Source organism: Homo sapiens, chromosome 3 (assembly GCF_000001405.40).
Source record: "Homo sapiens chromosome 3, GRCh38.p14 Primary Assembly".
In the NCBI taxonomy this organism is placed as follows: domain Eukaryota; kingdom Metazoa; phylum Chordata; class Mammalia; order Primates; family Hominidae; genus Homo; species Homo sapiens.
In genome coordinates this window covers 127316685-127329122 of record NC_000003.12, presented here as the reverse complement: position 1 = coordinate 127329122, position 12438 = coordinate 127316685, and the positions used below count along the sequence as shown (strand labels likewise).

The window sequence follows — 12438 nt, the reverse complement described above, 5'->3', positions numbered from 1 at the left end:
CTGTATTTTTTAAAATGAAGCTTATTTGTGAAAACAGGTTTAGTGCAATGGATCAAAACAAGGTTTTTACAATCAGACAGACCTAGGTCTGAATCCTGGTCCTGTGTTTTACTAACTGTGTTTGTAAGTATTCAATGGGTTCTTATTTAATTAAGAAAAGAAACATGGGCAAGTTATGTTGTCTCTCCAAGCCTCAAATTCTTTATCTACAAAATAAGGTTAATAATAGTACTCCTTCAGCTGTTGCTACAGGGATTAAAAGAGATCATGTATGTGAAGTGCCTGATGCAAGGCTTGCCCTGCATCAAAGTCACCATTTAGAACAAGATTTAAAGAAATGCAACCCTCAGGCACACTTACATGCATCATTCATTAATTTAGATTGTTTGCCAATAATTATTGCTTAATTTAGTCCCAATTTTCTCACAGGCTTGAGCAAACCTAACATAATAAGATGCTTGTAAATCCCCCAGTCTGTGCCAGAATAGCAGCTGTTCATCCATAGCTAGGGCTATGTCAGCAATTGCTAACCTCCTTCACTTCTGGCTCAACACATTTAAATCTGAGTTCTCCTTTACCCTCTGTGCAGGAGAAAAAGGGCTCCCTTTTTCCAGCTGTTCTGTTCCATCAGTGTTACCCTCTTTCCTCCAATTTTCCAGCCTACAAATGCTTTCCTCTCCTGTATCTAGTCTTACATTTAATCCACACAATCTGACCAGGTGTCCTGTCTCAGACTTCTCTCACTCTTGGGTACACAAGCTTTGCTTCCCCAACAAAGCTGTAGAGTAGGGCTCGTGTCTCTTCTCTGGAGTTCCCCAGAGCTCCCATCCAGAGCTGGACATGCTGTAGGTGCTTGGGAAATGCTCACTGACTGAGTACACTGTGGGCTTCCATGACCACCTTATCTGGAATAGTTTCCCATTCACTCTCCATCTTCTTGCCCTAATTACTTTCTTCAGAGTGTTCATGACTACTTCATGTGAGATGTTTACCCTTTGTCAATTGCCTGTTTGGGTCTTAGGGTACAGAAGCACCATAAGGACAGCAGCACCATCTGTTTTGTTCCCTGCTCTATCTCTATCATCTGTAAGATTTGCTCAGCATAGAGTAGATTTTTAGTAAACATGTGTGAAATGAACAGAGCCCCCAGAGTTCACCACTATGGAAATTTGGTTACGCATTGAACATTGGATCCTGAGAGGAAGTCCCTAGTAAGTCTTTTGTGTGAGTGCACATGCTTTATCAAATGGGATAAAGTTGGGGGCAAAGGAAAGAGGGAGAGAGGAGAGAGACAGAGATAGAGGCAAAGAACACACACATACACACACACACATGCACACACACATACAGAATTGCACCAGTTAATTGTATCTAGTGACAAGTAACTGGGAGTCAGCTCAATACCTTTTTACCTGTCTGATGGCCTAATCAAAGTCTGCCTTCTTTAATCCCATTCGCCATCCCTCACATTGATCCCAAACCAGAGAAGAGAGGGGAGCACAGGCCCCGGGGCAAAGTGAATGCAATTAACAGCCCTGTGGCTTCATTTCAAAGCTGTCACCCCGCAGTTTGCCCTAATGCTGCAGATTTTTTTTTTCCTCTGGGCTATTTCTCTTTTCACATTTCCTTTCTGCGAATCATGTTTTGAACAGCAAGGAGGCCAAAAACCTATAAAAAGAAACTGTGGCATTACACCAGGGATTCCCAAACTTTTGAAAGTCATGGAATCTTGGTTTAAAGAAAATTCATGGCAAATTGTTATATCTAGAGCTCACAAACATTTATTGGGCACTTTCTACTCACACCAATTTTTTCAGGCTCAGAGAGGTAAAGACAGTTGCTAAGGTCACACAGCTAATAAATGATAGAGCTGGGATTTGAACCCAAGTCCTGGTTCTTGGCACAGGGCTCCAGCCTCTTACACCCAGGACTGCTTCCTAGGCCATGGGAGGAAGGTCCATGCAAGGCCCAAGTGCCTCCCATGTGAAAGAGTCAACTCAGGACATGTGAGGAATGGGTAGCAGAGATAAGGGCAGGCTAGGCTTCTAGATCCAGGCATCCTCCCTGACCAGTCCAGAGGGACCCTTCCAGTTTCTTTCAGATCTGACTTAAAAGGTCAGATCTTAACCATGGAGTGACTGAAGGAACTTGTCCTAGAAAGGCTGGGGTGTAGCATTTGGTGTTTCTCACTGGGCTAGACTTTCAGCCACCCCAGCCAATTCCATGACAGTGCTGGGTGGGCCAAGGGGGAAGTGATTGATCTGTGGATAGCAGAGAACAGTCAGTTGAGATGTATAGCAGGAGGGGCTGCCCAGGGCAATAGGACTGGAACTGGACATAGACTCCTTTGAAGGCTACCCTCCCTGGATCTGCAGTGTGTGCTTCTCTGCTGACTGGCCCTGAGAACTAGGGATGAACTAACTTCAGGGCTGGTTGGGAGTTCCCCTAGCTGCCATTCAGTCCAGGTGCTTCTGGAGCAGCAGCTGGCAAAGGTGATGTGACAGGCCTTCTAGGACAGCACATACAGCTTCCCTACTTGGCTCCTGGATGGAGGGCAGCCAGGTACAACAAGAGTAGGAGACTTGGTGCACATGGATGGTAGAGGGGGTGCAGAGTCATATGCCATGGCATTAAAGAGTCCCTCCATCCCTCTGGAGAGCTCTCTGGCTTCCACCTGAGAGGGTTTGCTTATGGGGAGGTAGGTGAGCAGGATGGAGGCTCCTGACATCTGCTGCAAGGAATGGTGTGAGGTCTGCAAAATTCTTGCATTTTTTCTTGCTCCCCTAGAGAGTGTCCTGGTGGGTCTTTTTTAGTGGTTTGTAGCACCTTTAGGCCTGCCAGCCTGTCAGAATGGCAATGGCACAAGGACACTGCAGGGGTGGAAGCCACAGCAGCTGTCACAGGGTGTGTTCTAGACTAATTAATGCATTGAGTTTGTGCTCACTGGGGGAAGTGAAGGATGCGGACCAACAACATGGTCAGGGAGCATGGCCCTCTTGGTTTTGGTTGAAACAAATGGCTATGACTCTTCACTCCTGCCTAAAGCCTTGCCTTTTGCCTGTGACTTTGCACACCTCCCATTAAGAGGTGAGTCTATTTTCCTGCCCTGTGAGTCAAGACTTGGCCAACAGAATGTGATGGGAACCATAGTGTGCCATCTCTGAGCTAGGTTTCAAGAGGCTGTACTTACTCCGCTTGCTCTTAGATGCCTGTGCCTTTTGCTCAGACAACCCTGGGCCTGCCCACCAGAGAGTGAGCTATCCAGGGCCTGCTATTCCTGCTGCTCCAGCTGATGGGAGTTAGGCCACTTCAGACCAGCCAGCCAGCTGGCCACCCACCCACTGACTGCAGACATAGAGTGAGCCAGCCAAGTTCAGACAGACCTAGCCCAAACCACAAGCATTTCCCAACCAACTCACAAATGTGTGAGACAAAAACAATCAGTGATTGCTTTAAGGCATGAAGTTTTGGGGCAGTTTTTTCCTCAGCAATAGCTAGTGGCATGGTCTGAAGTATTTTTAGATATTCTCCATGTTGGTCTGTGGGGTGTTGGCCGGGCAAAAATGGGTGTGAACTGAAGAGCCCTGAGTGTTTCATAAAAATAGGAGATGGAGGGTATGAGGAGGCTGTCCATTAGCTGGTGCTGAATGCAGAGGAGCTCCCTGCTTGAGGACAGGAGACAAGACAGTGGGGGAAGAAAATGTATGCCCAAGACAGACTCCAAACATTATCTTCTAATCACACAAGAAATACATCAAGATGCTGTCTTTTAAGACAATTGAAAGATTCCAGATAAGCCCCAAATTCCCTTTGAACAACCTCTTACCCTGGTGCACTCCCCAAAGCAATTACTTTTATGAAGTTGATGGTGTCCTTCCAGACCTCAAAAACATTCTTCCATGTTGATATGGGTAGATAAAGTGTTTTTTTTTTGTTGTTGTTGTTGTGCAATATTCTACTGTGTGATTACAAAACATCTTAGTTAGCCCTTCCCCAGTTGACGGAAATGCCCTTATTTCCAGCGTCCACTTGCAACATCCCTGGATGTGCCTCCTTAGGCACCACGGGTTCTCTGGGGAATCAAAACCAGAAGTGAAGTTACTGGGCCCTGAGACACATGCATTTTCACAGGGCATGAGAACAGCCAATTTCCTTCCACCTTGACAGCTCATGAGATTATCAAACTAATTTTTGCCAGTTATGTAGGTGAATAAAACAATATCTCATCGTTGATTTAATTTGCATTTCCTTGATTACTAGTAAGGTTGTGCATCTTTTTTTATGGCAGATGCCTATCTATATCCTTTTCAGTAAACTCATATCCTTTGGCCATTTTCCTATTTGGTTGGTTATGTTTTCTTATTAATGTGATCTGTTGTTTTATATTGTAGGCACTCCCTCCAAGACAGACTTCTCTGTGGAAGCAGCATATTGGAGGCCTGCTAGGACAGTTCACAGGAATGGCTGTGGAGGGCTGCAGGCATGTCTCTAATCAGAACCTGCTTGTCTTTTTGATTGACAGCTGCACTTTCTCCACCAAGAAGTGGGTACTGTGCAAGTTATGGTCATAGTGAAGGTGGGGGACATGGTAAGTCCTTATTGTGCAGACAGTCATTTCCTGTTTTCAATCCCACCTGTAAATGGAATCTCCACTGGGGAGATACCCCGATTCTGGGGCAGTCCCAGTAAGGATCTGCTTCTGGGAGTGGGGGAATCCAGCATGAACACCCAGAAATATACTACAGCAGGGAGATCAGCACTGGTCCTTAAGCTAAGAAAAAGGGTAGCCACACACTGTCACTCAGACATGTGTGCTGAACAGAGCACAGGTGAAGTGGTGTGCAGGAAACACTAAAGACCACATCAATGCATTCTTCTAAGAGCACAGGGTGCTGTGCCCCTGGCATGGAAAGCAGCACAGGGAGTGGGGGAGCCTCCCTGATGGTGGGCAGGAGCCTCCCCAGGAGGCCGGAGAATTGGACAGAGGAGGAGCTGGCTGCAGTGCAGTCTCACTGAGGGCCTCTGCCAAACTCACCGAGCTCTGGGGCTGGAGTGGGCTTAGAACATGTCCCATATTGAGGGGAAGGGGCTGGGCCTTTCAGCCCTGCACTTTCCAGGGAAGGGGGAGCCTTGATAGAGGCAGCTCCATTCAGCAGAGGGCGATGCCTGGGGACAGCTTGGCTGTGGTCCTCAGCAGCCAGCAATCCCAACCAGATACTAAGCAGCTCTGTCGGAAGGGGACACGTCCCAGTGTCTGCACGCTCTGATAGCTCCTGTCTCCTTCAGAGCAGAGCCAGGCTCACAGTGACTGTCAAGCCCTGTCTGCTGCTGCCTCTATGACCTCCTCTTCCCCAGCTGTCCCTCTCTTTCCCTTTCATGCACTCTAAACTGGCCCAGCCCCGCTGTCCCTGGACCATGCCAAGCATTTTCTGGCCTTGGACTCTGGCTGGAATGTCCCCCACCTATCTCATAACAGCATGACTTGGTTCTTGTCTTCTTCCCCTTCTTGTTGAAATGTTCCCTTCTCTAGAGATGTACTCTAACCACCCTGCTTAATGGGGGGACCATTCCCCAGGTATCCTCTGTCCTTCTAACCCTGCTTTATGATTTTCCACAACATTTCTCACCACCAGACAGATCTCATTCATTCGTGAACTCCCTCTCCCTGGGAGAATGGAAGCCTGAGAGCAGGCATTTCTGTGCCCTGTTCACTGCTGGGTCTCCCGGGCCTGGAGCAGGACCTGTCTTGTGGTGGCCGTGTGACAGTGTTCACTGTATGAGTGAATGAACAAATGAATGAATGAACGGAAGACAGGAGGGAACTGCAGGCAGTGGACAGACTCAGATTCTTCTATGGCCATGGAATTCGCTGCATCAGAGCCACAAATACAAATGTCGCTGTGCCGTGAAGGCAAGCTTGGCTTTCTGTGTCAGAGACTTGCTAAGAACATAGCCCATGTCCTTTCTAAATTGTCCCCAGAAGTGTGGGTAGGACACAGCCATGTGATATATCTGGAGGAAAAGTTCAGACTAACAAAATTCCACTTGGAGACCAGGGTGCTGGCCAACAGCGGCACCAAACATCCCTAAAGTCATGTATAGATGGACAATGGACAATGTTTAGTGAGTGTGTCAGGGAGGAAGCAGAGCTGACCAAAACCCCAGGTCTCGCCTCCAACCATGGCTGATGAAATTGGCCTTACCAAGCGTCAGAAGAAGACTCTATCTTATTCAGGTGAACAGTAAGGAGACCCACCTTTGTAACGAGGGGACCAGCGGTGGCAGCCCTTCTCACATGGAGTGCCCAGTGATTCAGTCACACATGGGCCCAGGTGCTGCTGGGAGGTGTTTTGTAGATGTGGTTAACGTCTGCAATCTGTTGACTTTATGTACAGGAGATGATCCCGAATGAGCTGCATAGGCCTCATCGAATCAGTGGAAAGCCTTGAGAACAGAGCCAAAGTTTCTCTGAGGAAGGGGAAATTCTACCTGTAGACAGCAGCTTCAGTTCCTGCTGCAGTTTCCAGCCTGCCCTTCCTGATGTCCTTCCCTGTGGATTCCAGATTTGCCAGCCAGTCCTCATAGCCACATAAGCCAATTGCTTGTAATAAATCTCCTAGTGTTAATGATCCTTTAATAATATACATATAAATAATATATCCTAGTATTAATAAATCAATCTCCCTCTCTCCATCTCTCTCTCTCTCTCTCTCTCTCTCTCTCACACACACACACACACACACACACACACACACACACACGTCTTACTAGTTCTACTTCTCTGGTGGAACCTTGACTGATATAGATGAGTAACCAGAAAAAATTTAACGTGGAGAGGGGGCTTGACCAGATGTTTTACCAATCTGTATAGACAACTTTCCAAAATGTGGTCAGTCAGGACACAGTCATCAGTAGTCTAATCAGGTGGACTTAACTATCTAAGGCCAAAGCACAGCCAGCCAGTGTCATAGATCTGGATGGCACAATCAGTATAGCAGCTGTCCAGAACACAGCTGACCAGGCAGGATGGATTAAAGCCACAATGTAGAAGACAAGATGAAGACAGGCAATTGTCCTGGACGTGGCTGTCCAAGAAGACAGTCATGGGGGAAATGGCCAGTGTTTCCCAGGATCTGAGTGGCCAGTCCATAGTCATGAGGCTAAAACCAAAAAGGATTCACTGTCCACGACACTATGGCCAAGAACATAGTTCTCAAGGGCAAAGCCAGTGTAGACAGAGCGGATAGGACATCAATGACCAAGAACAAGTCCCAAGGATGCACAGCCAATGCCAACATGTAGATGGTTCTAAACTGTACAGGATACTCATGGCCATGCATAACCTTGAGGGAAGTGTCCTTGAGACAGCCACCATGTGTACTTGTGCTAGAGGTAGGCTGTGGTTTATTTTTCTCATTTATCCAAGAAGCTATTTTTGTTCATTAAAACCTAGTTACTTGCTGTATCTAGCCAGGATCCTGGAGTGCTCGCTTGGTTAATTTAAGCAAGCAGAGCTTTGACAAAGTAATTTTATTGTCCTCTGGGATTGGCCAGCTTATGCCAAGCCTCACTCTTTCTGTTGAAATGGAGTTAATTTTCGCTGAAATTGCTTCTTAGCAGACAAACATATTCCCCATCATTGAGGGCTTATGCTTCTGCAGCTCTATTATTCCTTAATTTACACACTCGGCAGCATAGGATCCATGCCCAAGACAGACAGAGACTCCTGCAGGTGGAGGAAGGCGGAGAAGACGGCAGCCCCTGTTCAGCTCCTCATACCTGGTTAGAATTAGCCGTTAGCAATTAGTCATCAATCATCCAATCAGTCTGTGCAGCCAGAGCCCCCAGTGTGCCCAGCTCTGTGCCAACCACAGCAAGAGGATGCAAGGAGGAGGGGTTCCCTGTCTGAAGAACCCAGTTTATTTGGGGAGGTGAGACTCAGACATGGGACTCAGAATTGACACAACACAATATTAGCTCAGACTTTGGCTCTGGTCCAAGACATGGAATAATGGAGCGACTTGCTGATGGGACATGAAAAGATGGAACGGTCTGAAAAAGAAGGAAAGAGAATGGCCCTTGGAGGGGACCTGTCATAGAGGAGCCCTGAAACTTCTGGTAAACCTTCAGGGAGGGGCTGCAAAAGTGGGCAGAATAGGATGGACTGGGTAAATGGGTCTAGGAGGAGCACAGTGGCAATCAGTGTTCTTCAGAGTAAGGAAGGACAGGAAGTGTTCAGGACAGGGCAAAGGCCAGGACTGGGGTCAAGACCATGACAATTAAGCCAGCATCTGAGTCACTATCATTGCTGGCCTTAGAGTCATGAAGGGCATTCAAGGTGAGATCAAGGCTAGAGGAAGGGCAGCTTGGCCCACAGCTGATGTCATGGCCAGCACCACGGAGAGCTCCCGTAGGTTCTGGTGCCTCCCACACCCAGTGGGCATAAATATTCAGATCCCAGTTGTAGAAGCAGAAATAAGTAAGCCCATGTTCTTTCATTCAGCCTTGGCTAGGAAATATAACTGAAGCAGAAGACATGGGCTTTGCCTAGCAGCTAATGAAGAACCTTGAAAAAAAAAAGGGAGTCTGTTGACACAGATGCTTTGAGAAGACAAGCAATAAGCTAGCCATTACATCTTGTTAGATGGATTAGGAGAACACTGGGGAATATTTGCATACCAATTACCATAAAATTTGAGTTCAATCTATACTTATTTTATGACTTGCCTTCAGAAAGTTGAGTTTCTGTGTACATCTGTTTGCTAAGAAGATTCATTTTCCTGTAATATTGAAATTTTTGTCATAATAGTTTCAAAAAGTGTTGACTTGTAACATTAACATTGAAGATTAAAAATGTTTATTAAAAAAAGCATTTGTTAAAATGTTTGTAGTAGGAAAGTGTTTATGCAAAGCTGCTTATTCACCTTGATAATGAACCCAAACCAAGCTGTATAAGTGTTGAGTTCCTTAATATTAGAAATATAGTAAGATGCACATTTCCATGTAAAATGTATCTGCAAGCACAACAAAATACTGTAACATACCAACTTTAAAACCCAAAGCATAATCTTTGTTCACAGAGGGTCAGGTGTATCTGGCTCCAGGCTCCAAGGAATCACACATCTGAACCTGCCCCATTCTGCTGTCTCTCTCTATGACTCTGCTGGGGCACTAAGCCCCCGCTTCCTTGGAGACCTTGCTCCTGTGCATCATGTGTTGTTGTTGTTGTTGTAGTTGTTGTTGAGATGCAGTCTCACTCTGTCACCCAGGCTGGAGTGCTGGAGTGCAGTGGTGTGATATTGGCTCAATGCAACCTATGCTTCCTGGGTTTAAGCAATTCTCGTACCTCAGCCTCCCTGAGTAGCTGGGATTACAGGTGCACACCTGCCATCATGCCCTGCTAAGTTTTGTATTTTTAGTAGAGACTGGGTTTCACCATGATGGCCAGGCTGATCTGGAACTCCTGACCTCAAGTGATCCACCCACCTTGGCCTTCCAAAGTTCTGGGATTACAGGCATGAGCCACCATGCCTGGACTGTGTGTCATGTGTTTTTAATTTTATTCACTTGTACTGAGTTTGTGTCTGCCACCTAGAAATTTCACTTACTGCTTTAGAGCTCAGCTAAGTTCTTAAAACTTAAGTATGTAGCTGGATGCTGTCTCAGTCCATTTGGGTTGCTGTAATAAAACACCCAGTTTACAAACAATAGAAATGTATTTCTCGCAGTGCTGGAGTCTGGGAAGTCCAAGATCAAGACAGCAGCAGGTTCAGTGTCTGGTGAGGGCCCATTCCTCATAGATGATGCCTTCTTTGTGTCTTCACGTGGCAGAAGGAACAAACAAGTTCTCCCTGGCCTCTTTTATAAAGGCACTAATCCCATTCACAAGGGCTCTGCCCTTTTGACCTAATTGCCTTCCAGATGCCCCACCTCTCAACACTACTGCACTAGAGATTAGGGTTCAACATATGAATTATGGTGGGGAGACACAAGCCTTCAGACATAGCAGGTACCTCCACACTTTTGGGGTGCATGTTGGGGGTGGATTTTACACGTGCCTGCTCTGTCATTTGACCTACAAGTTCCATTTTTCACTCCTGGCTGGTTAACTAGTTGGGTAACAATGTAGACTGTGAACTTTCACAATGCTCAGCACAAAATAAGACTTATTGTAGTTTGATGGATTGATGAACAAAGAGATGAATGAATGAATGAATGAATGAATGAGGCTTCTTAGGAGAGCAATTTAAATTCAAGAGACAAATCACCAGCACTGAAGGAGCAGGAGTGGGGCAATCTATTGGGAGCTGATTAAAGCAAAAGCTTACACAGCCTCACCTGGCCCTGAAGGCTGCTCAGTGTGCAACTCAGCCAAAACTTGGACAATGTGAAGGAGGAGTTTGTTCAATTGACCCTGGATACTTCCACTTGCTCTTGAGGGAGGAAGAGGCAGCAAGACTGAGATGCTCCAGTTTGAGGATCTAAAGCTAGACAAATTTGAGGTTGAGTCTCAGCATTGCAGTATGAGCTGTGTGGCCTTGGCCAGGTTACTCAATGCTTACTGCCTCAATTTTCTCAAGTGTGAAATAGGGAAGGATAAACAAGAGTGTAGCCTCATCAGGCCACAGAGATGCTTAGACACCAAGCACTGCATCTGGCACCAAGGAAGTGTTCACATAGCCATTAGAATTGTGAAGCAGGTGACACCTGCTGCCTACCACCTGGAGCAGGATGTCAACCCACTGCACAGTTTACAGGTGTCAGGGTTGCCAAGAAAGACACAACTCACACAGGCACTGGATGGAACAATACTTTACTTACACGGAGAAACTTCACTAGTGACTGTTGGTTCCCCGTGGCCAGTGGGTCTTGTCCTGAAGCCAATGCAGGGAGGTGGTCTGCACGTGCCCCTCTCAGGCTGCAGGTGAAGGACCTCATTTCCCTCTTGTCGGCAACAGATATGGCAGTGAGGTTGGCCAGGCACGATATGATGGATACGCTGAAGCAGACCAAAGAAGTACACACGAGGAAACAACAGAGAAAGGTGTCCTCAAGCACGGTGGTGAGTTCAGCACAGGTTGTGTTTCCTGAGCTCCTTATCTCCAGGGAAGGAATGGCTCCAGGCACAACCTCATGAGATTGAGCAGGGGTGGAGCAAGCTGCTCACGGCTGCCTCTCCTGGCAAGTGTTGCTACCAATACGATGGTCCTGGTGGTCATTTCTTGTTGACCCCCTGTGCATCTCTTTCTCTTTCTCAGCTTCTTTTTTTTTTTAAATTGTATCCTTCTCACCTTCTTTATGAGAACCTCTCGTCTGTGCGTCATGAGGCTCCGACCTCAGCTTCGGAGGAAGCCCCAGCAGTCTTGGTGCTTCCTTCACCTCTTTGGCTTATTTCGTTTTTCATTTATACTATTGTCTGATTACAACATCAACATATGTTCATTGTTTTAAAAAGACAAAAAAATCCCTAAACATGCAGAAAAATGGAAAGAACGAAATTTAAATTATTAATAAGTTTATCACTGTTGTCAGTATTTTGGAGTATTTCCTTCAAGCGTTGTTTCTACAAATAAACATACACACATTATAAACAAAGTTGAAATTATATTACATACAAAGTTCTTAATATATGTTTTTACTTAACATTTTCTCATCTCATTACATATTCTTTGAAAGCACCTTTTTATGCCTACAAAGCATTTTATCTTATGGGTGCAACATGCTTACATAACTGCAGCAATGTAATTCTGGTAGATGATATATTTTTGAGTCTTGTCCTCAGATAACAAACATTTGTAGCATGTTGCATTTGTCTAAGTCTGTACTCAATTCTACCTCACACGCTTTCTTCAGATAGCAGCAATTTTGATCTAGTCATTTCCAGGTGAAGTCAGTCACTTGAGATTTAAAATCAGATCATTTCTGTTTGTCTCCTTTTTCCTCTTCTCCTAGGTTGGCATCTAAGATTCATTCTTTTCTGTTTTTCAAAAGCAAAACCCTAAACGCCTCAAGACACGAAGTCAACACCACCACCAACAGTCAGCTTTCCCACCAGCCCAGGTAGGATAAAGCCATGCAACAGCAAGTCAAAAGGAGTGGAGGCCCGAATCCCAAAGACAGCAGAGTGCAGGTCCCTGGAACCTGCCTGGGTCTGTACTTCTCTCCGGCTGCATGGCACCATCCCCTGGGAGCTTTCCGAATTCCTGAAACCGGGCCATGCTCCAGATGAAGGACATCAGATTCCATGGCTGGCTCCTGGCTTCAGTGCTTTTTATATCTCTCCAGACGATTCCAGTGTGTAACAGCCAGTGCTACTTGCCTTTTGCTGTGCACGTGTGGTCCAATCAATGGATACCATTCCGTTAAAATGCAGAATCTTGGTCCCACCTCAGACCTGCCCCCTCAGAATCTGCACCTTAGCAAGGTCTCCAGGTGGCT

At 46.1% G+C, this 12438-nt stretch overlaps 1 long non-coding RNA gene across 1 annotated transcript in view; it reads left to right on the top strand.

Annotated features, from left to right (window-relative positions):
- LINC02016 (long intergenic non-protein coding RNA 2016) overlaps positions 1-6816 on the top strand; it is a 68364-nt gene extending 61548 nt beyond the window's left edge. Inside the window, exons 4-5 of the long non-coding RNA NR_110147.1 lie at positions 4392-4588; positions 6396-6816. This is a non-coding gene — a long non-coding RNA (long intergenic non-protein coding RNA 2016). The remainder of the gene's footprint in view (positions 1-4391; positions 4589-6395) is intronic.
- The last annotated feature ends 5622 nt before the right edge of the window (positions 6817-12438 follow it).